General features: G+C 42.1%; 1 long non-coding RNA gene and 2 pseudogenes across 6 annotated transcripts in view, besides 1 other annotated feature; 1 reads left to right on the forward strand and 2 right to left on the reverse strand.

Annotated features, from left to right (window-relative positions):
• H3P4 (H3 histone pseudogene 4) overlaps nt 1–22,495 on the reverse strand; it is a 58,864-nt pseudogene that overhangs the window by 24,560 nt on the left and 11,809 nt on the right. The window lies entirely within an intron of this gene.
• On the forward strand, nt 3,023–12,839 carry FCGR1BP (Fc gamma receptor Ib, pseudogene; annotated as a pseudogene). 4 transcript variants are annotated; one of them, NR_045213.2, is made up of 6 exons: nt 3,023–3,103; nt 3,499–3,519; nt 4,332–4,586; nt 8,674–8,928; nt 10,352–10,636; nt 11,550–12,839. The product of NR_045213.2 is annotated as an Fc gamma receptor Ib, pseudogene, transcript variant 4 (transcript). The 4 variants fall into 4 exon arrangements; NR_164759.1 differs by lacking the exon at nt 10,352–10,636; NR_164760.1 differs by lacking the exon at nt 11,550–12,839 and having other exon boundaries at nt 10,352–11,320.
• LOC100996318 (uncharacterized) lies at nt 5,967–13,943 on the reverse strand. The gene is made up of 2 exons (NR_158169.1): nt 12,271–13,943; nt 5,967–8,446 (listed from the first exon to the last, which is right to left on the reverse strand). It is a non-coding gene; the product is annotated as an uncharacterized LOC100996318 (long non-coding RNA).
• Nucleotides 13,253–13,512: a silencer, noted in NCBI's record as "silent region_1254". NCBI's record gives its function as "represses an Ori minimal core promoter by ATAC-STARR-seq in GM12878 lymphoblastoid cells {active_cell/tissue: GM12878}" and the evidence as "EXISTENCE:reporter gene assay evidence [ECO:0000049][PMID:35858748]".

The following is a 22,495-nucleotide window of genomic DNA, read 5'->3' on the forward strand; positions in this document are numbered from 1 at the left end:
GGGCTCAAGCAATCCACACACCTTGGCCTCCCAAAGTGTTGGGATTATAGGCATGAGCCACTGCACCCAGCCTATCTCATCTTTTAAAAAAAACATATCAAATAATTGTTCATAAATCATTTTCTGTAGTAGAGAGCAATTTTTCTTAAAATTGGCAAATAAGATTTTGCATCTACCTTTGAGAAAATTGTATTTGTAAAGTGATTTTAAAAGAATGAAGCCTATGAGTATGATGGCATTATAAAAGTATCAGTGGCCAGGCGCAGTGGCTCATGCCTGTAATCCCAGCACTTTGGGAGGCTGAGGCAGGCGGATCACAAGGTCAAGAGATTGAGACCATCTTGGCCAACATGGTAAAACCCCGTCTCTACTAGAGATACAAAAATTAACTGGGCATGGTGGTGTGCACCTGTGATCCCAGCTACTGGGCAGGCTGAGGCAGGAGAATTGCTTGAACCTGGGAGGTGGAGGTTGCAGTGAGCCAAGATCGTGCCACTGCACTCCAGCCTGGGTGAGAGAGCGAGACTCCATCTCAAAAAAAAAAAAAAAGTATTAATATATGGAAATACAAATGTCATATATAGATGTAAATTCTCCTAATTGTTCTTCTGAGCATCATGATTTTTTTCCATGAATTTTTATTTTAAGTTCCAGGGTACATGTGCGGGATGTGCAGTTTGATTACATAGGTAAACGTGTGCCATAGTGATTTGCTGCACAGATCAACCCATCACCTAGGTATTAAGCAAAGCATTTATTAGCTCTTCTACCTGACATTCTCTCTCTCCCAACCCCACCCGACTGGCCACAGTATGTGTTGTTCCCCCACCATGTGTCCGTGTCTTCTCATCGTTCAGCTCCTACATATAAGTGAGAACAGAGCATCATGATTTTCATTGTCCATCAAATGCTAGAAGACTACTCTGCTTTTGTTACTATGTTTGCCCCATTTTTCTAGCTCTTCTTACATGAATTTAAACCTACATCAATGGCTATTTCCTCAACATTTGGAAACAACAATACTTATTAGAAAGAAAGTATTTTATCCTTCCAGGCTATAGATCTTACATTCCTCTTACACAACAATCCTAATTCCCTCATGTTATCCTGATCAATGAAATGATTTCACTTATTTTTCAAAGAAGTAGCTATTTTACTACAAAGCAGGAATCACAAGGCATGGGGTGGGCACTGTTATACTCCATCAGTGAGTATGTAAAGGAAATCAAACTGTCTGATTTTGAATCCTGCTTCTATTTTTCACAACCTTGGACAAATTACTGATTTCCTCTTTCACTAGGTTTATCATTTGTAAAATGGAGATACTAGTGTCTACTCATGGATTATTGTGAGGCTTAAATAAGAAAACATGTATCAAGCATATTTGTCTGGCTTGTAATAAGCACTCTAAAATTTATGCAGTGATGAGGATAATGATCATAGACAATCTGATAGCATCTTATCCAAAGGAAAAAATGCGCATTTCCTTTGAGTAAGCACTACTGATTCTAGGAATGTGTCCTAAGGAAAAAATAAGTCAAATGTTTAAAGGTAGTCACAAGACTATTTTGGTAGTAAGCAGTCTTTTTTACTGGTCACACAGTAAAAAATTAGAAATAACCTACATGTTCATGAAGAGAAGTTGGTGAAATAAATTATGGTACATGCATACAGTAGAAAACTTTGGAGACAAAATAGTAAAATAGTTACAGATATAGGCTTTGAATATAAATTTTAACAAGCTGAGGCTTCTCTCATCTCTTCAGAACACCCTGAGTTCTTCCCGGCCTTTCTTCCTTGCTTTTCATTTGTGTCAGTCAGCTCTTGCTTGTATAGCAATCTTCAAATCTCAGTAGCATATAAAGGTAAGCATTTAGTTCTCACTTACAAGTTTGCAGGGCAGGTGAGGCAGGTCTGCCTCAAGCCACAATGTCTAGGACAGCTCTGTTTCACACGGTGGCTGACTAGCTAAAAAATGTTCTTGTCTCAGCAATCACAGGAGAACAAGAGGGTGAGAGATAATGTGTGAAGCTTCCTAAGTGCTAAGTTTGAAATTAGCACCATGTCATTTCCATTCACATTTCGCTGGCCAATGAAAGTCTCATGATGAGCCACAGTCAAGAGTCAGAGATGTACCCTCATGAGGCTGTGGAGAGAGTGTAGATTCAGGGAGCGGTGAGAAACTGGGGCCAGTACACCAATCTACAGCATGATTTGTCATCATTTTTCATTCTCTGCTAGTAAGATTGCCAAAGTCTCTCTGCACTCATTGAATTCATCCTAGTTTCCATTTAGCTCTCTTTCTCTCTTACCACAATACCTAAAAATCTTTTTATGGGGTTACAACTCTGTCTCAGGAGCCACCTCAGTTTGGTGGCACAGAGCTCCCCACTTGTACTCTGAAACTCTTTTCTTGAAGATATTGCTATCCATGTGCATGAGTTATTTTTCTTCTCCATAGCATCCACATTAAACAATTAATTACCTTGGATTTAGCCAAAATAAACACTCCAAATTCATGATGTCTTTCAGGAAGAGAGTTTGTTTTCTTTTTTAACCAAAATGGGAGATTGATCCTGTCTGTGTCCCCTAGAGGAGCAGAGGCTGGTTTGTATTAGGGCAGCTCTTGTAGATGAGTAACTTTTCCCATGGCCTCATAGAGGCTGATATAGAAACTTCTGGATTCAAATGATTGTTTGGAGGCATTAGCCAGGCATTGAACCAATTATAAAGAGTGAGGTTTTGCCATATTCTAACCCTAAGAAACAGAAACGGTAGAGGGTAAAAATAGAATAGAATGTCAATACAACTTTAGCCTTTTCCCTGGATTCTGAGAGTTCATAACCTGAAAATCAGAGATTCAAACTGGGAGAGATGGGCTAACAGGTATGAGCATGGGAAAAGCATGTTTCAAGAATTTGAGATGTATTTCCCAGAAAAGGAACATGATGAAAATGGTCAGAAAAGGCAATTTCCTTCCTCTTTTCTAATTTGGCTCTGGAGCCACCAGCAGAACCTCTTCAATATCTTGCATGTTACAGATTTCACTACTCCCACCAGCTTGGAGACAACATGTGGTTCTTGACAACTCTGCTCCTTTGGGGTAAGTTGGACTCAGAGGGGACAGTTAGAAGGGTACAGGCTGTGGCTGTTGTGAGTCAAGAGTTTTGTCTTCCTGTGGTAACTCTGGGTAGAACTCATGAGTATGAAGCAACTTGTATCTGTGCTTCCACTGTTTATTAGAGCTTATTTTATGAAAAGGATGGGAAGGGCAACCCTGAGGTAGCATTAAGCCTGGACACACCGCAGTGAAGTTTCCTTGATAACCACCTGTAGCTTGTTCAGTTCTGTTAGTACTGGATTTTGAGAAAGAGAAATAGAAACTCAAGAGATCTGAGTTGATCCCTCAGAGTCTACATTAATTCTGTCTCCCCAATTCTCTCTTCCTCATTATTTTCCTTGGACCAACTGATATCTTTATTCTCTGATCTCTTGCAGTTCCAGTTGATGGGCAAGTGGGTGAGTGATCTCTAACTCAGCTTCTCCTTCTATGCCACTTTCCTACTTCCAAAGGATGGGTCCTATTAACCTGCAGAAGAGCATATAGAGAAAGCAGAGAAAGAAGAAAGATTTATAAATTATGTAAAATCTCCCATATTCAGAGCATGATTTTCATAAAAACTATGATTTGTAGGCTTTCTTTCTAAAGTTTTCTGAATGAGCTCTTTCCTCTGAGCGAAATGCCTGAATGTATATATAACAGCAGGAAAGGGCCAGAATTGCACAAACACTAAAGTAGTCTGCTGACACTGAAGTAGTCTGCTGGGTTTCCCAACATCCCCTAAACCAGTCCCCTTTACAAGAAAGCAGAGTGGGTTTTTTCTCCTCAGAAAGAGCCAGGCAAATACTGAAGGCTTCAAAGAGAGGAGTTTGAACCTCCGTTTCCAATGTACAAGCTGCTGAAGCCCTGCAACGTACTCTCAGAGACAGTATAGCTCAGAGGATAAGGAAAACAGCTCCGCTTGGCTTGCCCAAGTCTAAAACCCTGCTTCATTGCTCCCAACAGAAAAACCTACATCAGTAATTTAATCCTCAGGAGCCCCAGATTCCCAACACCCAGATGAGGATTTAATAACAATGAACAGAGGTCTCTGCAGCAGGAGGACACTCTTAAAGGCTGGCTTTTGTAGGTTTCCACTTGCCTATTTTTCAAATAAATCTAAATATGTATTTTTCCCTTGTGCTATCCACAAAAGCCTCACCAGTTGCTCAGAGCCCTCCCCTTTACTCCACTTGATCTTTTTCTTTTTCTTCTTGTAATCTCCAAGTAGACACCACAAAGGCAGTGATCACTTTGCAGCCTCCATGGGTCAGCGTGTTCCAAGAGGAAACCATAACCTTGCACTGTGAGGTGCTCCATCTGCCTGGGAGCAGCTCCACACAGTGGTTTCTCAATGGCACAGCCACTCAGACCTCGACCCCCAGCTACAGAATCACCTCTGCCAGTGTCAATGACAGTGGTGAATACAGGTGCCAGAGAGGTCTCTCAGGGCGAAGTGACCCCATACAGCTGGAAATCCACAGAGGTAATTATGACTTGGACCAGGAGGGCCGGAAACTACAAGGTCTTCCTCTGCGTTCTCTCCTTTCTGGATGCCAGATGTGTGTGTGTGTCGATTTATCTGGGTGCAGGTCTCAGCACTATGTACCTACCAGGTGAAACTAAATCAGTATACTCAAAACATCACAGCAGGGTCCTTAAACTGTGTACCAACAGTACCTCAGCTGGGCCAGCTCTAAGTAGGATGTCTAGAGTAAGACTTCGGCCCTAAGATTGTATCATTATTCCAAATGTATGCCTGTACATAGTAAATAATAATAATTCAAACAAATGAGCAATAATGAATAATGAAATATCTTCCTCCCACCCAAAACCCTAGATCTGCAGTCACCTTCCACAGAAACAAAACTGCTAATATATATATACATATTATGCATATATATGTATATATTAGCATTATTATATATAAACTATATATATATACACACACATATATATAGTTTTAAAGCTGTGGGTGGTAGAACACTTTCTAAGTATTGTCCTATATCTTACTTTTATCACTTAAAATACCTTGAAGTTCTGTTTATATTAATAGAAATCCACTTTAAAATGTCTGCTGCACAGCTGTACCAGAATTAATTTAACCATTCTGCCTATTGGCAAATTTGTAAGATGTTTCCACTCTTTTGATTTTACAAGCATTGCTGCAATAATTATCTTTATACATACATTCCGGGGGCACATTTCATAGGGTATCTGTAAGATAATATTCTGGACATGGAATTATTGTCATATTTTAATAAATGGAAGCAGAAAAGCCCACCACCCACTTAAACCTGTAAGGAGTTTCTATTCATCAAGAGACGGAGACTGCAATATTCTTCAGGGAAAAATGCTTCATTCAATATGCAAGACAAAATAACCAAATGTATTATTTAGTTATTCAGAAGTGATGAGTTTAAACTTCTTTAAAAATGATAATGCAAAAGTTAATCCACACTGGAGGCAAAATTGCCTTTATGCAGACATGGTTGCTGTTAGAGGAAATGTGTTTTAGCCAAGGAAATGTTGAGAATGTCTGAGGGAAGGCTTGATGTTCCTCATGTGTCCCTTAGGTCTCTGTAAATAAGTTCTTAGGATGGAGAGGTTAGGGAAGCTGACAGAGCTGTTTCCTTTTTTTTGAGACAGAGTCTCACTCTGTTGCCCAGGCTGGAATGCAGTGGTGCGATCTTGGCTCACTGCAACCTCTGACAGAGCTGTTTCAACAAGACACTTTGGGTAATTCAAGCAGAAGTGTTTCATGGTTCAAGTGACAACAAAAGGACTAGGGCTGGGAAGAGTCCATTTTCTTTACCTCTACACAGACTCTAGGACACTCAGCATCAGTGACTTACTGAGAATCATATCTTTTTTACATTACATTTTAATGTGAATTTTCATTGAAATATAACTTATGTACAATAAGCCATAAATGTACGCCACAGTAAATTTTTTCAAAGTAAACAGCATCCAGATCTATTTTAGACATTTCCAGCACCTCAGAAACTCCTTCTTGCCCATTTCTAGTCCACCCCTGACACTGACTTCCAGCACCATAGGTTTTTTGCCTGTTTTTGAACTTCATATAAAGGGCTACGGTATGGGACAGGATGTACTCTTTTGTGTCTGGTTTATTTTTCTCAACATTATGATTGTGAACTGTATACATGTTGTAAATTGAAGTTCATTTGTTCTTATTACTGTATATTTCATATTTTCCCATTCTGCTGAGGGGCTCGGGTTGCTTCTGGTTTTGACCACTTACAAATAGTAATGCTGTGGATATTTTTGTTTACATGTTTCAAATATTTTCTACCATTACTAATGTTCAACAGTATCTGATGGAGGTATGTTACAATTTCCCACTCTTTTGGATATACAAATGCAAATTAAGCATTTCCCTAATGACTATGATATTGACCATTTTTCACATTTATTACCTATTTGGGTATCCTTTTTTGTAAGGTCTTTTTGATAATTTTTCTATTGTCTGTCTTTTTCTTACTGACTTATAGGAGTTATTTATATATTCTGGATATAAGTCCTTTTTCAAGAGTCTTAAATATCTTCTCCCACTCTGTGGCTTTTCTTTTCACTATAATATTAAAGTTTTGTTTGTTTTCAATGAACAAGACTTGTTAATTTTACTACAGTACAATACACCAACATTTTTGGTTGGTGCTGTCTATGCCCTATTTTAAAATGTTTCGCCACAGTCAGCCATGGGGAATTCAATTGCAGCTCACTGACTCTTAGTCATTTCAATTTAATCAGTATATGCTAAGACCAAGAAAATGCAGCTGGTTGGTGGACCCGAGCCCTAATCATATGGCTGACACCAAAGTCATGAAGGTAGGGGAATGATTGTTGAGTAGGAAATTAGTAATGTCTGCTAAAAGCTGCATCTCTTGAGTTTTGATATATAATACTACCATTACCACTTAAGTTTAAAAACTCATAAATTTCCATTATACATTATTTTATTCATGAATTACTTAGATGTTTTTTGGAGGGTAGTTTTTTGTTATTGATTTCTAATGTTATAGCACTTTGGTTAGAATTTGTGTTAAACATGGTATCAGTTCATTAGTATTTGTTGAAAATTGCTTTGTGGTCTAGTTCACACTTAATTTTTCTAATATTGCATGTGTGTTTGAAAAGCATATGAATTTTCTTTCTAAAGTAGAGCATCCACAAAATCAAGCCTATTAATTGTGTCATTCAGATATTTTCTACCATTACTAGTGTTTGACAGTTTCTGATGGAGATGTGACAGCATTTCCCACTCTTTTGGATATATAAAGCAAAGATGGCAGTGTTTGGGCAGTGCAGTCTTTCAGCATCTGCTGGCTGTGGGTGGGAATAAGGGAGGGAAGAGAATTAATTCTATTTGGAAGCATTATATCAGTATCCATGACTGTAAAATTCATGCTATGTATAGCATAGAAACACCTGTCTTCCATTCTTAGATAAGTTCTGGAGGGGAAAAAGGCACTATTGTCTCTTTTCCGCCTTAGTCTCCTAAGAACCCCATTTTTACTTAGCCAAACCAACTGCCTCTGGAGAAAAGAAAAGTAGTTGAAGCATTTTTGGTTATGTGTAGAGGTGTTTGTCGAAAGGAAAAACCCATTGACTTGGAGCTTGTTTTGCTAGTGATATCATTGATCTTACATATGTGAGTATTCATATCAATGTAGTAGGATGTTTATATCTGGATGTTTGCCCTTCTGTGTGTTTGTCTCAGGATGCGTGGTCCTATTAACAAATTTGTCAAGAGTTGGAGTGTATTTGTTTTCTATTGCTGTGTAACAAATTTAGCAACAACATACATTTAAGATCTTCCAGTTTCCATGGGTCAGGACTCCCATCACAGCTTAGCTGAGTGCTCTGCTGAGAGTCTTCCAAGGCTGCAGTTAGGGTGTTGACTTTGCTGTGTTTCTTTTTGCAGCTCTTCCAGGCTCACAAGGTCACTGGCAGAATTCAGTTCTTTGTGGTTGTAGGACTGAGGTTCCTGCTTTCTTGCTGCCCATCAGTGGGGGGCCACTCTCAGCTCCTAGAGGCCCTTGCCTTGTGGCACTCTTGCAGGCCCTCTCCTGGCGTGGCAGCTTACCTCTTCAAGTTCAGGAGGAGACTTTCCATCCAGACTGCTAAGATAGAGTCTTACATAATGTAGCAATCCCAAGAGTGACATTTCATCACCCTTGTCATATTCTGTTGGCTAGAAGCAAGTCATAGGTTCCACCCACACTCAAGGGGATTATGCAAGGGAGTGAGTCATTGGGATCATTTTAGAATTCTGCCTACCATGCTGTATGAACTGTTTTTGTTTCAACCAACTTCTGAGATCTGGAAAGGGAAGATAAGAAAGGGCTGTGTATGCAGTTGCCAGTAAAGATTGCTTTTCTTTCCACCAAAGCTAAAGATATTTGAGGAACCGGATATAGGCCTGAGATTTAGCAGAGCTCTGAGGCTGGATGTTGCAAGGAGAAAAAATAGGAAGCCCACAGGGCCAAGCTTGGGCCTCCTTGTACCTCCTCCACTGTATACATACATTTTGGGTTCATATTTTTCAGGCTGGCTACTACTGCAGGTCTCCAGCAGAGTCTTCATGGAAGGAGAACCTCTGGCCTTGAGGTGTCATGCGTGGAAGGATAAGCTGGTGTACAATGTGCTTTACTATCGAAATGGCAAAGCCTTTAAGTTTTTCCACTGGAATTCTAACCTCACCATTCTGAAAACCAACATAAGTCACAATGGCACCTACCATTGCTCAGGCATGGGAAAGCATCGCTACACATCAGCAGGAATATCACAATACACTGTGAAAGGTATTGTATTGGAATAGTCATAGAACTGATAGTCCCTCCCCCTGAGGGACCATCATAAATATTCTAAACTCCTCACTTTAATTTACAAGTGAAGAAACTGGGCTCCAGAGAGGTAAACTGCATTACTAAAGGCCACACCATGACCAGTAGCTGGAACCAGAACTGAGGTCTCTGGGTCCTAGTCCAATACTCTTTCCAGTGTACCGCAACCCCCATCAATAATCACAGGAGCTAATGTCAATGTCAGGGCATAATGGTGATCCATTTCATCCATCATTATTTTAGTTGTAAAGAATACAGACTCACTCTAGGTAGATAGGAGAGTTAGAAAATAATACCATGGAATCTCATGGAAGCCCCATAGAAAGAGAAACCTGGAAAACATGAGGAACGGGCTATACTGTCCATCTACCTCTCAGGGACAAAGCAGCCTCTGTGGTGCCACTTCTTCCTGAGCATCTGCAGGCTAAGCAGTTTGCATATGGCCTTGTTCTGACCCTTTCACGGCCTTTCCTCTTAATACAATCACTAGCAACCTTTCTCTGTCTGAGAAAAAAAAAGTTCACTCCTGTGGGAAAGAAATTATTGTCCCAGATTATCTTTTAAAGTCAGGAACAAAAATAATGAGTCACTGAAATGTGGCGGGCACCTGTAGTCCCAGCTACTCGGGAGGCTGAGGCAGGAGAATAGCATGAACCCGGGAAGCGGAGCTTGCAGTGAGCCGAGATAGCGCCACTGCACTCCAGCCTGGGCAACAGAGCGAGACTACGTCTCAAATAATAATAATAATAATGATAATAAAGTCACTGAAATGGCAAGTGTGTGAGTCAGGGTTCACTCCTAGTTGACCACTGCCAAAAGGGCATGGTTATTGACCAGATGACACGGTCATTCAGGGAAGGATGGACCATGTAGGGCAGGGGTTCCCAACCCTTACTGGTCCGTGGCCTGTTAGGAACTGGGCTGCACAGCAGGAGGTGAGCTTCTTCATGAGCCAGCATTACGGCCTGAGCTCCTCCTCCTGTCCAATCAGTGGTGACATTAGATTCTCATAGAAACATGAATCCTACTGTGAATTGTGCGTGCCTGATGATCTGAGGTGGAACAGTTACCTTCCAAAACCGTCCCCACTTCACCCCCCGGCTGTGGAAAAGTTGCCTTCCACAAAATCCATCCCTAGTGCCAAAAAGGTTGGGGACCACTGGTATAGAGGTATCCTCAGTAGGACTCAGCAAGCTGGCAACCCTAATTATGTCTATTAGGACACCCCAAGAATGGCTCTCTGCTGGAAGTAAAAAGGGTTAATGCCTTATGGATTCATTTTCTAGGGCCAGGTTTCCCAAGGGGGTAAAGGGCATGTCTTTTGTGAAAAGGACCTGGATGCTAAACAGGCAACCCTGTCCCCCATCAACTTTCTCCTTAGAGCTATTTCCAGCTCCAGTGCTGAATGCATCTGTGACATCCCCACTCCTGGAGGGGAATCTGGTCACCCTGAGCTGTGAAACAAAGTTGCTCTTGCAGAGGCCTGGTTTGTAGCTTTACTTCTCCTTCTACATGGGCAGCAAGACCCTGCGAGGCAGGAACACATCCTCTGAATACCAAATACTAACTGCTAGAAGAGAAGACTCTGGGTTATACTGGTGCGAGGCTGCCACAGAGGATGGAAATGTCCTTAAGCACAGCCCTGAGTTGGAGCTTCAAGTGCTTGGTGAGAATGACGGGAAGCCACTGGCACAGAAGAAGGGACTCCCTTATCTCCCATGGGACTGAGGTTTGTTCAAGGGTTTTTGGCCCAGACAAGAGGGGAAAGTCTCTTCAGGAAAAGCCCACAAGCAGGCCTTTCCATCCTTGATTCACAACATCACTCTTCTCCTCGCAAACTGTTAAATTTCCTTTCCTTTCTTTTTCTTTTTCCTTTGCCTTTCCTTCCTCTATTTCTTTCCTTCCTCCATTTCTTTCCTTCATTTTCTCCTCTGTCCTTCTTTTCTTCTCCTTCATTTTATTTTCCCCTCCCTCCCACTCTTCCCTCCACTCCATGACCCCTCCTTCTCTCTCTCTCTCTCTCCCTGCTTCCCTGCCTCCCTCCTCCTCACCAACAATCTCACCAACAATTTATCAAGTTCTTCCTATCTGTTGTCATACGTCTGGGGATATAAAGACATTTGAGTATAGTTCTTGCTTCAAGGAGCTCACAAGGTGGATTTATCAGACAGTGATTTTGTAAACTGCAAATCACCACCTCCCCAAGTATCTCTGTTTAACTGAGGCAGAGGGATTGTGAGCTCTAGAACAAAGTCTCCTTGGGGGGGAAAAAAGTTCATCTTCAACCCAAATTCATTTCAAGTATTAAATGGCACAGAGATATCAGTTGTCTCTGGAACTAGGGAGTAAGTCCACTGACAGGGCCCAGCAATTAAGCTCTTCCAAGGAGCCTGTCCCTGTCTATACACCATATAGCCAGTTAGAGCTACCGCCAGTTCCTTCCTGCTCCCTGAAATGACCAGTGCCTCCCTAAGGACAGGCACATCAGGTCTCAGCCAACCTTCCCTTCCAAACATAACTCAGCCAGACCCCTCTGGTCTCTAAATAGTATCTCTTCTCTTTGTCTTTTTCTGTTTCAGGCCTCCAGTTACCAACTCCTGTCTGGTTTCATGTCCTTTTCTATCTGGCAGTGGGAATAATGTTTTTAGTGAACACTGTTCTCTGGGTGACAATACGTAAAGAACTGAAAAGAAAGAAAAAGTGGAATTTAGAAATCTCTTTGGATTCTGGTCATGAGAAGAAGGTAATTTCCAGCCTTCAAGAAGACAGACATTTAGAAGAAGAGCTGAAATGTCAGGAACAAAAAGAAGAACAGCTGCAGGAAGGGGTGCACCGGAAGGAGCCCCAGGGGGCCACGTAGCAGCGGCTCAGTTGGTGGCCATCGATCTGGACCGTCCCCTGCCCACTTGCTCCCCGTGAGCACTGCGTACAAACATCCAAAAGTTCAACAACACCAGAACTGTGTGTCTCATGGTATATAACTCTTAAAGCAAATAAATGAACTGACTTCAACTGGGATACATTTGGAAATGTGGTCATCAAAGATGACTTGAAATGAGGCCTACTCTAAAGAATTCTTGAAAAACTTACAAGTCAAGCCTAGCCTGATAATCCTATTACATAGTTTGAAAAATAGTATTTTATTTCTCAGAACAAGGTAAAAAGGTGAGTGGGTGCATATGTACAGAAGATTAAGACAGAGAAACAGACAGAAAGAGACACACACACAGCCAGGAGTGGGTAGATTTCAGGGAGACAAGAGGGAATAGTATAGACAATAAGGAAGGAAATAGTACTTACAAATGACTCCTAAGGGACTGTGAGACTGAGAGGGCTCACGCCTCTGTGTTCAGGATACTTAGTTCATGGCTTTTCTCTTTGACTTTACTAAAAGAGAATGTCTCCATACGCGTTCTAGGCATACAAGGGGGTAACTCATGATGAGAAATGGATGTGTTATTCTTGCCCTCTCTTTTGAGGCTCTCTCATAACCCCTCTATTTCTAGAGACAACAAAAATGTTGCCAGTCCTAGGCCCCTGCCCTGTAGGAAGGCAGAATGTAACTGTTCTTTTTGTTTAACGATTAAGTCCAAATCTCCAAGTGCGGCACTGCAAAGAGACGCTTCAAGTGGGGAGAAGCGGCGATATCATAGAGTCCAGATCTTGCCTCCAGAGATTTGCTTTACCTTCCTGATTTTCTGGTTACTAATTAGCTTCAGGATACGCTGCTCTCATACTTGGGCTGTAGTTTGGAGACAAAATATTTTCCTGCCACTGTGTAACATAGCTGAGGTAAAAACTGAACTATGTAAATGACTCTACTAAAAGTTTAGGGAAAAAAAACAGGAGGAGTATGACACACACAGCAACTTGATTCTAGATTATTTGGTTTGATCCGTAAATGATGGGATGGGGCGTCGCGCTCCGAGCGTGTCCCGCGGCGGGCCCCTGGAGCCACACTGTGGCCGCATGTGCATATTGCAGCCTCCGCCCGTATCTGGGGGCCGCAGCCGCCAGCGCCCGGGGACCCAGCTGCGGCGAAAGCTGTCGGGCGCGCGCTTCTCCGCAGCTCCGCGCCCCCGCCAAAACCCAGTGAGAAATTATTTGCATTCCTGGAGCCTGCAGGAGCGAGAAATGAGCTGTAGGAGTCGGTGGGCAGCAACGGCGGCAGGCGGATGGAAGAGAGCAAGGGGTCGCCGTTCGTGTCCCATTCGCCCGAGTCAAGGGGCGGCCCCCCAAAATCCCAACGTCATTGTTTCCTCGGGGCCGGCAGGTGTGAAAACCCGGCGGCAGAATGGAAGTTCGGTAGTCTGCGAGGGCCCGCGGCCTCCCCAGGCGCGTAGCTGAGTCCCTCCAACCCCGCCCCGGGCCCGCCTGCTCTCGGGCCCCGGCGTGGCGCCACCTGGCGGCCGTCTGTGGAGGTTGCAGCTGCCGCCAAGCCACGGGGATGCTGCCGGCCTCAGGTGCGCCCGGCCAAGCCTCCGCGGAGAGGAGGACTGGTAGATCACAGGAAACGGGAGGACGGCGCTGGGCTCCCAGCAGGCGCCCCAGCTTCTTGGCTTGTCGCAAGAGCAGCCGGAGGCGGCGGCGGCAGGGAGGGAGCGGGTGGGGAGTGGGAGAGGCCGCCCGCCTCCCCGTCCAGCTCGGAGGACCTCCCAGCTGGTTCCCTCACCGTCAAAAGCAGGAAGGGAGCTGGCTCAGCGGGATCAGCAAGCCAGCGGGCAAGAAGGCTCCAGGCTCCGCAGGGGCCACCCCACATGGACTCGGGAACCGCCGAGCTTCACTCACAAGGGCCCACGGCCCATCCTATCACGGACGAAAAGATTACAGGACTGACAATGAGCCCCTGGAGGGATCTGATGCAGCTGGCGGGGAGAAAGGTGGGTCGGACTTAGAGGGGTGGTGGGGTGGAGGAATATCTTTCTTCTCCCTGGGACCTACCGAGGCTTCACCTGTGAGGGTCTTGGGCCCATCCTTCAATCCGAGAGCTTCCAAGCCAAAGCACAGCTCCCCAGAGTGGACAAGTGGAGCAGAACCGGCATTAGGTTGGGAGGGTGGGTCGTTAGGGGTAGTTCTTCACCTTCCAGGCTGGGTATGGAGACCTCTAAATTCATCCTAGGGCCACAAGAGCTTCTGTAAGAGTTCAGGCCCGTTTCAGAACACTCAGAGGTTCCTAGCCTGAGAAGTAATCCCCAAAGCAGACCAACCGGTTTGGGGTAAAACAGGAATAGTTGGGTCCATTCTGGATCTTTCCTAGCTAAATGCCTTCAGGATTTAGGAATATTTTCCTAGGAGGGCCAAGGATTAGCTAGACCTGCCCAGCGATTCCAGCCCTGAGAACCAGACAGAATGGAGGTATAGCCGACAGCTGGCTGGGAGGGGGCTGACGGTCCTCACTGCCACCAGGCTTAGTTGGAGACAGATTCCCCGGGCTGTAGAGAGACAACAGTAGAAGCAAAGAGACCAGTTAGGAGTCTAGGTGAGAGGCAGCGGCAGCCTGGACTAACATGGTAACAGTGGAGCTATTGAGAGTGGTCACATTTGGAAGATGTTTTGTAGGAAGTGTCAACAAAGTTTCTTATTGATTAGATGTAGGGAATGTGAGAAAGAGAAGGCGGGGGGAACACGTAGATTTTGGGTCAAAGCAATAAATATTCCATTGACAGAATTGAGACAGCAAGTTGGTGGAGGAGGGGAACGGGGTAGCAAGAAGCAAATGTTTCATATTGGAAATTTTAAGATTCCTATTTGACATTTAAGAGTAACTCTTGAAAAAGCAATGGATATATGAAGAATCCTAGACTAGAGATACAAATTTGCCAATCATCATATAGATGTGGTATTTAGAGTCAGGGGACTAGAAAGAACAATGTAAGGGGGAAGTACAGATAGAAAAAGGTCTAAGGCTGAGCCATGAAATATGCCACATTTTAGAGGTTGCGTAGAAGAGGTGGTAGCAAAGGATATTGATAAGGAGTACCAGTGAGGTAGGAGGGAAAACAGAGAATAAAACGTCTCAAGAAAGAGAGATCAACTATGTCAAATTCTCCTGAGAAAACTATTGGATTTGGAGTGGGACTGCACTAAATCTGTCGATCTTTTTGGGGCAGGGGCGGGAGGGAGAGGGTTAGGGAGGATTGATATCATTCCAACACTGACTTTCCAATCCATAAACAAGGTATAACTCTCATTTATTTATGTCACTGTTAATGTCTCACAACAATATTATAATATTCTCTCTAGATGTGTTAGATGTATTCTTAGGTCCTTCATTTTTGTGTTATTGTAAATGGTATTGTCAGAATCTTCAGAAGTAATTATTGGCCAGGTGCGGTGGTTCATGTCTGTAATCCTAGCACTTTGGGAGGCCAAGGTAGGCAGACACTTGAGCCAGGTGTTGGAGACCAGCCTGGGCAACATGGCAAACCTCATCTTTATAAAAAATACAAAAATTAGCCAGTGGCACACGTCTGTAGCCCCAGCTACTCAGGAGGCTGAAGTAGGAGGATCAATTGAGCCCAGGAGGCAGAGGCTGCAGTAAGCCAAGGTCGCACCACTGCACTTCAGCCTGGGTGGCAGAGGGAAACCCTGTCTCAAAAATAAATAAGTAAATAAATAAATAAATAAATGATTATTACCAGTCTCACAGCTGAGGCAGAAATTTAAAACAAATAAATAATAAGTACTGCATTTATTCACTCCAAGAAAAGTAAAAGCTAAGGCCCAGAATGTGGCAAGACAAGGGTTAAAAAGAAGAAAACAAGTTTTCCTCTGCCTAGCAAGCTTACTTCAAGGACAGTTATAAGATAACGCTGTCCAAATAGCCAAGGTCAAAGGAATAGGCTCCAGACACCCCTCCCTTCCAGAGCAAGGTTGAAGGAAGAAAAAGAGAAAGATTCTTTTACTGTTACTCTTTCCCCAGGCCTCTTAAGCATTATTTACAAATGTCTGTATTTAGCCAGTTTTTGTTTTTCTTTCGATGCAACTACAAGGTCACCAGCTATGCAAGGTCACAAGTTATGTTATGCTATAGATTATGTGACCTGTCACTGTATGATTAACTGCTTTTGTTTTGTGTCTGTAAGGCCGCTTATAAAAACCCCACTCTGTCTTTGTTCAGTGCTCAGCTTTTTAGATGCAAACCTGCTGAGCCGTGCGTACCTAAAATAAACAACAATCCTCCTGTTTTTCCATATTGGCCTCTCCTTTCCTCAGTTTACCACAACATAGCCATAATAGTATAAAAACTGAAAGACCCTAAGACACATATACATTAAGCTTGGCAACGGAAAGCAGGATGTCACACACACACAAAGCTAGTAATGTGAAAATCTGGTCTTGCATAAGGTCTTTTAGGTACAGACTTCTTTGTTAATGCACATTGGCAGGAAAATGGGAACGAATAAAATTGCTTGCTGTCCTTCTCCCTTTATTCTCCACTTCTTGTTTTTTCTAAATGTGGGGTTAAAACTTCCATGAGGGTAAGAAGTTCAGTTTTCTGCCTTTCCCCTTCATCTCCCTATCACACATGTATACTACTCCTTAACACTTAAAGAAGATAAAAAAAGAATAAATTGTGGAGAGGGAGCATATGTGAAAGTAAAAGATTCCCAGACATAATATGGGAGTTAATGGAGAAAGAAAATCTCTAAGGAAGACTAGAAATAATTGGGTTAGGGATTCTCGAGAAGTAAATTAAATTCCCCAAATATGGTATTCTCTGAGAAGATAATTTTGAAGAAGCAATGGCGTGATATCCAGTGAAACAGCAGTCCTCTGGAGCCTGGCTGTGACTTCAAGGCCCAGTTCTTCTGGAAGGGCAGAAAAATACTTCGAAGAGGAGAAATGAGCATTTATATAGGTTTATAAGTACCATCTTTATTTTAGAAAATAATCATTTTCTACCTGGAATTCTAGTTTATTGTGACCAAAAATTGTAAAATTTCAGGATATGGCTGAATTAAAATCTTGGTCCTGCACTTAAATAGCTCCTTGAATTGCAATTTCTTATTCCAATTATTTTATCCTTTCATTCCACTGTGAAATCTATATCATGGCACTTAATAGTCAACTTTATTATTTTAATTTAACAAATGCTTATTTACCTTTCATGGGTTATTTCATTTAGCCTTCATAATATCTGTTGTCATTGCCTCACACTCAGTGGCTTTTAATACTATTCTATTATTTTGATCAATTTGTATAATATATTCTCTCCTCAGTGTTTGGTAAAGCTGTCTGGGCTTGCTTTTGTTTGTTTTTTGAGACAGAGTTTCGTTGTGTCACCCAGGCTGGAGTGCGGTGGCATGATCTCAGCTAACTGCAACCTCCACCTCCCAGGTTCAAGTGATTCTCCTGCCTCAGCCTCCCAAGTAGCTGGAATTATAGGCACACGCCACCACACCCGGCTAATTTTTGTATTTTTAGTAGAGACAAGGTTTCACCATCTTGGCTAGGCTGGTCTCAAACTCTTGACTTCAAATAATTCACCCACCTCGCCCTCCCAAAGTGCTGGGATTACAGGCATGAGCTGCCGCACCCGGCCTTGGTGCTATTTTTAAGGATATGTATATCTGATTTTTTTTTCTGTTTCTCTTATAGTTAATTCTTTAGTCAGGTATTTTACTTTTCTTAGCTCAACTTTGGTAATTTGTATGGAAAAGTCAACATTTTGTCTACATTTGCAAATATATATCAAAAATACACATCATTTTAATATCTACTATATCTAGTATTACTTATGTGCTTTTTCAATAGTAAGTTTACGGAAGGATTAACTCTTAATTTTCTTTTCAGGGAACACAGTGTTTGGTTTTATAAATTCCATTTTGGTGGAATAGGAAGGTATGATCTGTTTCATTGACTATGCTTTCATCTTACTTTATGCCTTCTACTTTCCACAGGTTTTTGTTGTGTTCCTTTGTTAGCGTTGGAGTTAAAAGCTTAATTCTCTCTCTGTTGCTCAGGCTGGAGTGCAGTGGCATGATCTCAACTCACTGTAACCCTCCACCTCCCAGGCTCAACGATCCTCCTGCCTCGGCCTCCCTAGCAGCTGGAACTATAGGCGTGCACCACGACATCCAGCTAATTTTTGTATTTGTTGGAGACACAGGGTCCTGCCATGTTGTCCAGGCTGGTCTCCAATTCCAGAGGCAATAATTGGGAGGCCAAGGCGATCTGCCTACCAATTATTTTCTCTTAAATGCATTTTAAAGCTACAAATTTTCTCCTGACTGATTCATGTAGGTTTTAATATTATTTGCCATGAAATATATTTCACAGTGGAATGACAGATAATTGGGATAAGAAATGGCAATTCAAGGAGTTATTTAAATATAGGGCTAAGATTTGAATTCTAGCTTACTGGGACCAAAGCTTGTGAAGTCTCAGGGTATGGCTGAATTATAGTGCTCTTGTTATTTCTAAAGAGTGTATAATTTTTATTCTGATATCCCCTTTAACCCATGTGCTTTTTCCTAAGAGTACAACTTAAGGAGGGCATGTTTGATTATTTTATTGTTTTATAATCAGTTAACTATGCCCTGGTCCTATATGGTTTCAGCTTTTCAGCACTTGTTGAGACTTAATTTGCCATCTCACTTATGGCCAATTTTTGTCAATATTCTATGTGAATTTGAAAATAATGTAACTTTCCTATTTTGAATATAAGATGGTATAGGCATAATTATAGTTATGATTAATCTTATTAACCGTGTTCTTCAAATTCTCCATATCCTCAATAAGTTTCAGTCAACTAGATCTGTCAATTCCTAAGAAAGGTATATTAAACTTATCACTGTGATTGTTGACTTATATGCACATATGTGTATGTATCCTTGTTAAATGCAAACAATTCATGGTCATTCCTTAATGGAGCACTACTTTTATGAATATGATATACCCTTCTAGTGCCATATATAAATGTATTTTTAAACCGACTTTAAAAAAAAAAAAAGAGGAACTTGCTCTGTCACCAGGCCAGAGTGCAAAGGTGCAATCATAGCTCACTGCAGCCTCGACCTCCTAGGCTCAAGCAATCCTCCTGCTTCAGCCTCCTAAGTAGCTGGGACTACAGGTGCATGTAACCATGCCTGGCTAATATTTTTACTTTTTGTAGAGACAAGGGTCTTGCTTTGTTGCCCAGGCTGATCTTGAACTCTTGGCTTCAAGTGATCCTCCTGCCTCAGCTTCCCAAAGTGCCAGGATTACATGTGTGACCCACCATGTAAGCCCACATTTTTCTAACTTCTACAGTAATATCTATATCCTATTTATTTATAACATAAATCTTACTTAGCTTGTTTTACTTCTCTTCACTCTTGCTTTCCCTACCACCCTTCTACATCACCTGGAATTTGAATTCCAGGTTTTCTTTTTAATTTTCTAGAATCTAATTTCACTTTGTTTAGCAATATCTTTTACCAAATACATGACCACCTTTGCTTCCATTATCTCACATCTTCCCTTATGATCTTTTTAAAATTATTGCTGGAATAGAATTCTGAAAAGTCACCCACACTTAAATGATAGTTTAATTGAATTCAAAATTATTTTCCCTAGATTTTAAAAAATAATGCTTCGTGTCTTCTTATATCCAGTGGAGCCCAAATGAGTTGGATGTAAATTTGACTTCCATTTCTTCATAAGCATTTTCCCTGAATATGTTTAGAAATTTCTCCTTGTTCCCAAATTTTGTCACTGTGAATCTAGGTGAGGGTCCTTCTCATCCTGTATGCTCAGAATTTAATAGGACCTTGCAATCTAAGGATGTATGTATGCATTTAGATCCTGTGAAATATCCTCCTTTTATTCCTTTATTTTCTCATGACTATGGTTGCATACTACACAATAGTAGGTTGTACACTACACATTGGCAAATCTTACTATTCAAATGACAGCCCCTGAAATTGTGCAGTGCACAATCAGCAAATCTTATTTGGTAGATCTGTATTTTATTTCTTACTTGTTCTCAATTCTCCCCTCCTCTCTAACTCCTCATCCTGTTACATGAGTTTGGAACATCTGGATCTATTTTTCATATCATTTAACTTTTCTTTCATCTCTGCATGCATCTTTTTATATGGCTTTGTGGAGGAATTTCTGGCTTATCTTGATCACGATGAGGCGGGAGAAACTCAAACTATGTGTTTCCTGTGCTTTCACACTACAACAATCAACACAGAAGACTGACGGCGGAGGGGGGTTCTCCACACAGCAAGCAAGCAATCAGTTCTGCAGTGGACACCAGCTGAGTGTACTCCAATTCAATTTTTACACTATTTATCAGGAGATCCCACAGGTTGAGGACTGAGTCTACCAGACTGCCCCCACTTCAAATGCCAGTTCCAAGTCTGGGCCTCCAGAACTTCTGACCAACCATTTCCAAGCTGGGGTTCCCATGGCTTCCTCCTTTGCATTGTATTAATTTGCTAGAGCAGTTCATGAAACTCAGAGAAACACTTGGGTTTACTGGTTTATAACAAAAAATACAGATGAAAAGATGCATAAGGCAAAGTATGGGGGAAGGAGCATGGAGCTTCCATGCACCTCCACTGGGTGCGCCACCCTTCAGGAACCTCTACATGTTCAGCTATCAAGAAGCTCTCCAAGCCCTGTCCTTTTGGGTCGTTATGGAGGCTCCATTGCAAAGGAATCACTGATTAAACCATTGGCCATTGGTGATCGGCTTAACCTTCAGCCCCTCTCCCCTCCCCGGAAGTTGGAGGTGGGCTGAAAGTCCCAACTCTCTAATCCTCCCCTTGTTCTTTCTGGTCACCAGCCCCCATCCTGAAGCTACCTAGGGGCTGCCAGACATCAGTCAACTCATTAATAAGCAAAACGACATCACACTTTGGTGTTTCTAAGGATTTTAGGAGTTGTATGTCAGGAAATGGGGTTGAAGACCAAATATATATTTCATAATAGCACAATCTTTCAGCTTATTTATTTTCTCTTGGCTTTATCTATCCTGTTCTGGATTTATCCCTTGTTGAATTTTTATGTCAATAATCAAATTTTAAATTTCCAAGATGTGGGAGCGCCCAGTTACTTGGCACATTTTCCTGCCTCCTTGAACCAAATGACCACACTCACTGCTGGGGTCAAAGATGTCAGTCACCAGCCAGACATGGTGGTTCACACCTGTAAACCCAGCACTTTGGGAGGCCAAGGTCGGTGGATCCCTTGAGCCCAGGAGTTTGAGACTAGCCTGGGCAAAATGGTGAAACCCCATCTCTACAAAAAATACAAAAATTAGCTGGTTGTGGTGGTACATGCCTGTGGTCCCGACTACTGGGGAGGCTGAGGTGGGAGGAGAGCTTGAGCCCAGGAGGTTGGGGCTGCAGTGAGTTGAGATTGTGCCACTGCACTCCAGCATGGGTAATAGAGTGAGACCCGGTCTCTAGAAAATAAATAAAAAGACTTCAGTCACCAAGGTAAGGAGATGGGTGGATATTCCTACTGTGGTACCTGAACTGTCATCCTATCAGTTGCCCCAAGACCAACTTTTGTCTCCTGGTTCCAAAACATGTGGATCATTTTTTGGTCCACTCCTGTCTTCTGCAGAAGTCCTCCTTGGCACTCTTCACTGTTACTCCATCTGCCATCTTTGTCAATTTTTTATCATTTCTAGGAATTTGGGGTGGAATATGAGAAGAAAGCAACATATCTTCAGGACACAATCTTGAATCAGTAGCTATTTTTCACCTGTGCATTAGAGATGGGAAACTTGCAGAGCACTTAACAGGACTTCCCTACAATCACCAACTAGTATTTATTGAATTGTTTATTAGTAGGAAACATTAAGCAATTATCCTTCATAAAAACATTATGAAGTAAGCATTACTATAGTCCCAGTTTTAAGATGAGAAAACACAGATTAAAAACATCCTAAAGAGCAGAGCCAAGTTACACTCCAGGTGGTCCGTCTCAGTAGCCTGAACTCTTTACTAATACACTATACGATGGCATATCCGGGTGATTTTGGGAACACATTATACTTCTACCCTGCCAGGAGGGCCAAATGTATTTACTTTGTCATCTCTGTGCTGTAAGGGGCCACATTTCTACCCATCAACTCAATCTACATTACTCAAGCATGCTTGTAATTCATATGTTATTTCCTCATGCCAGGAAGAACAGTCACAGTTCTGTTTCACTATGCTTTTATCTTTGAGACTCAAATTCCCCCCTCCCCACTATAAATTATTTGCACATACTAGTCTAGAAAAATTTAATATGCCACTTTCCCCCACAAACACATCTCCACAATCATAAACACCATGAAATAAACTTCTCTTAGACAAATGAAAAAGTTTCTTACCTTTTTCTCCAGGCTAAGGATCAAAATTCAAGTTTTACTTGGTTAACTCTCCTGCTAATCTGAAAACTGTCTTCTTCTCTATAGATGCTTGCTGTTTCAGGGGGGCAGGCGGGAGTTATTTAAGAATAATTTCCATTACCTAATACCTTGATACTAATGTGAAAAAAATTATGAAAATCAGAGGTCAAACACTTAAAAAGATCC

Source organism: Homo sapiens, chromosome 1, assembly GCF_000001405.40.
Source record: "Homo sapiens chromosome 1, GRCh38.p14 Primary Assembly".
Taxonomy (NCBI): Eukaryota; Metazoa; Chordata; class Mammalia; order Primates; family Hominidae; genus Homo; species Homo sapiens.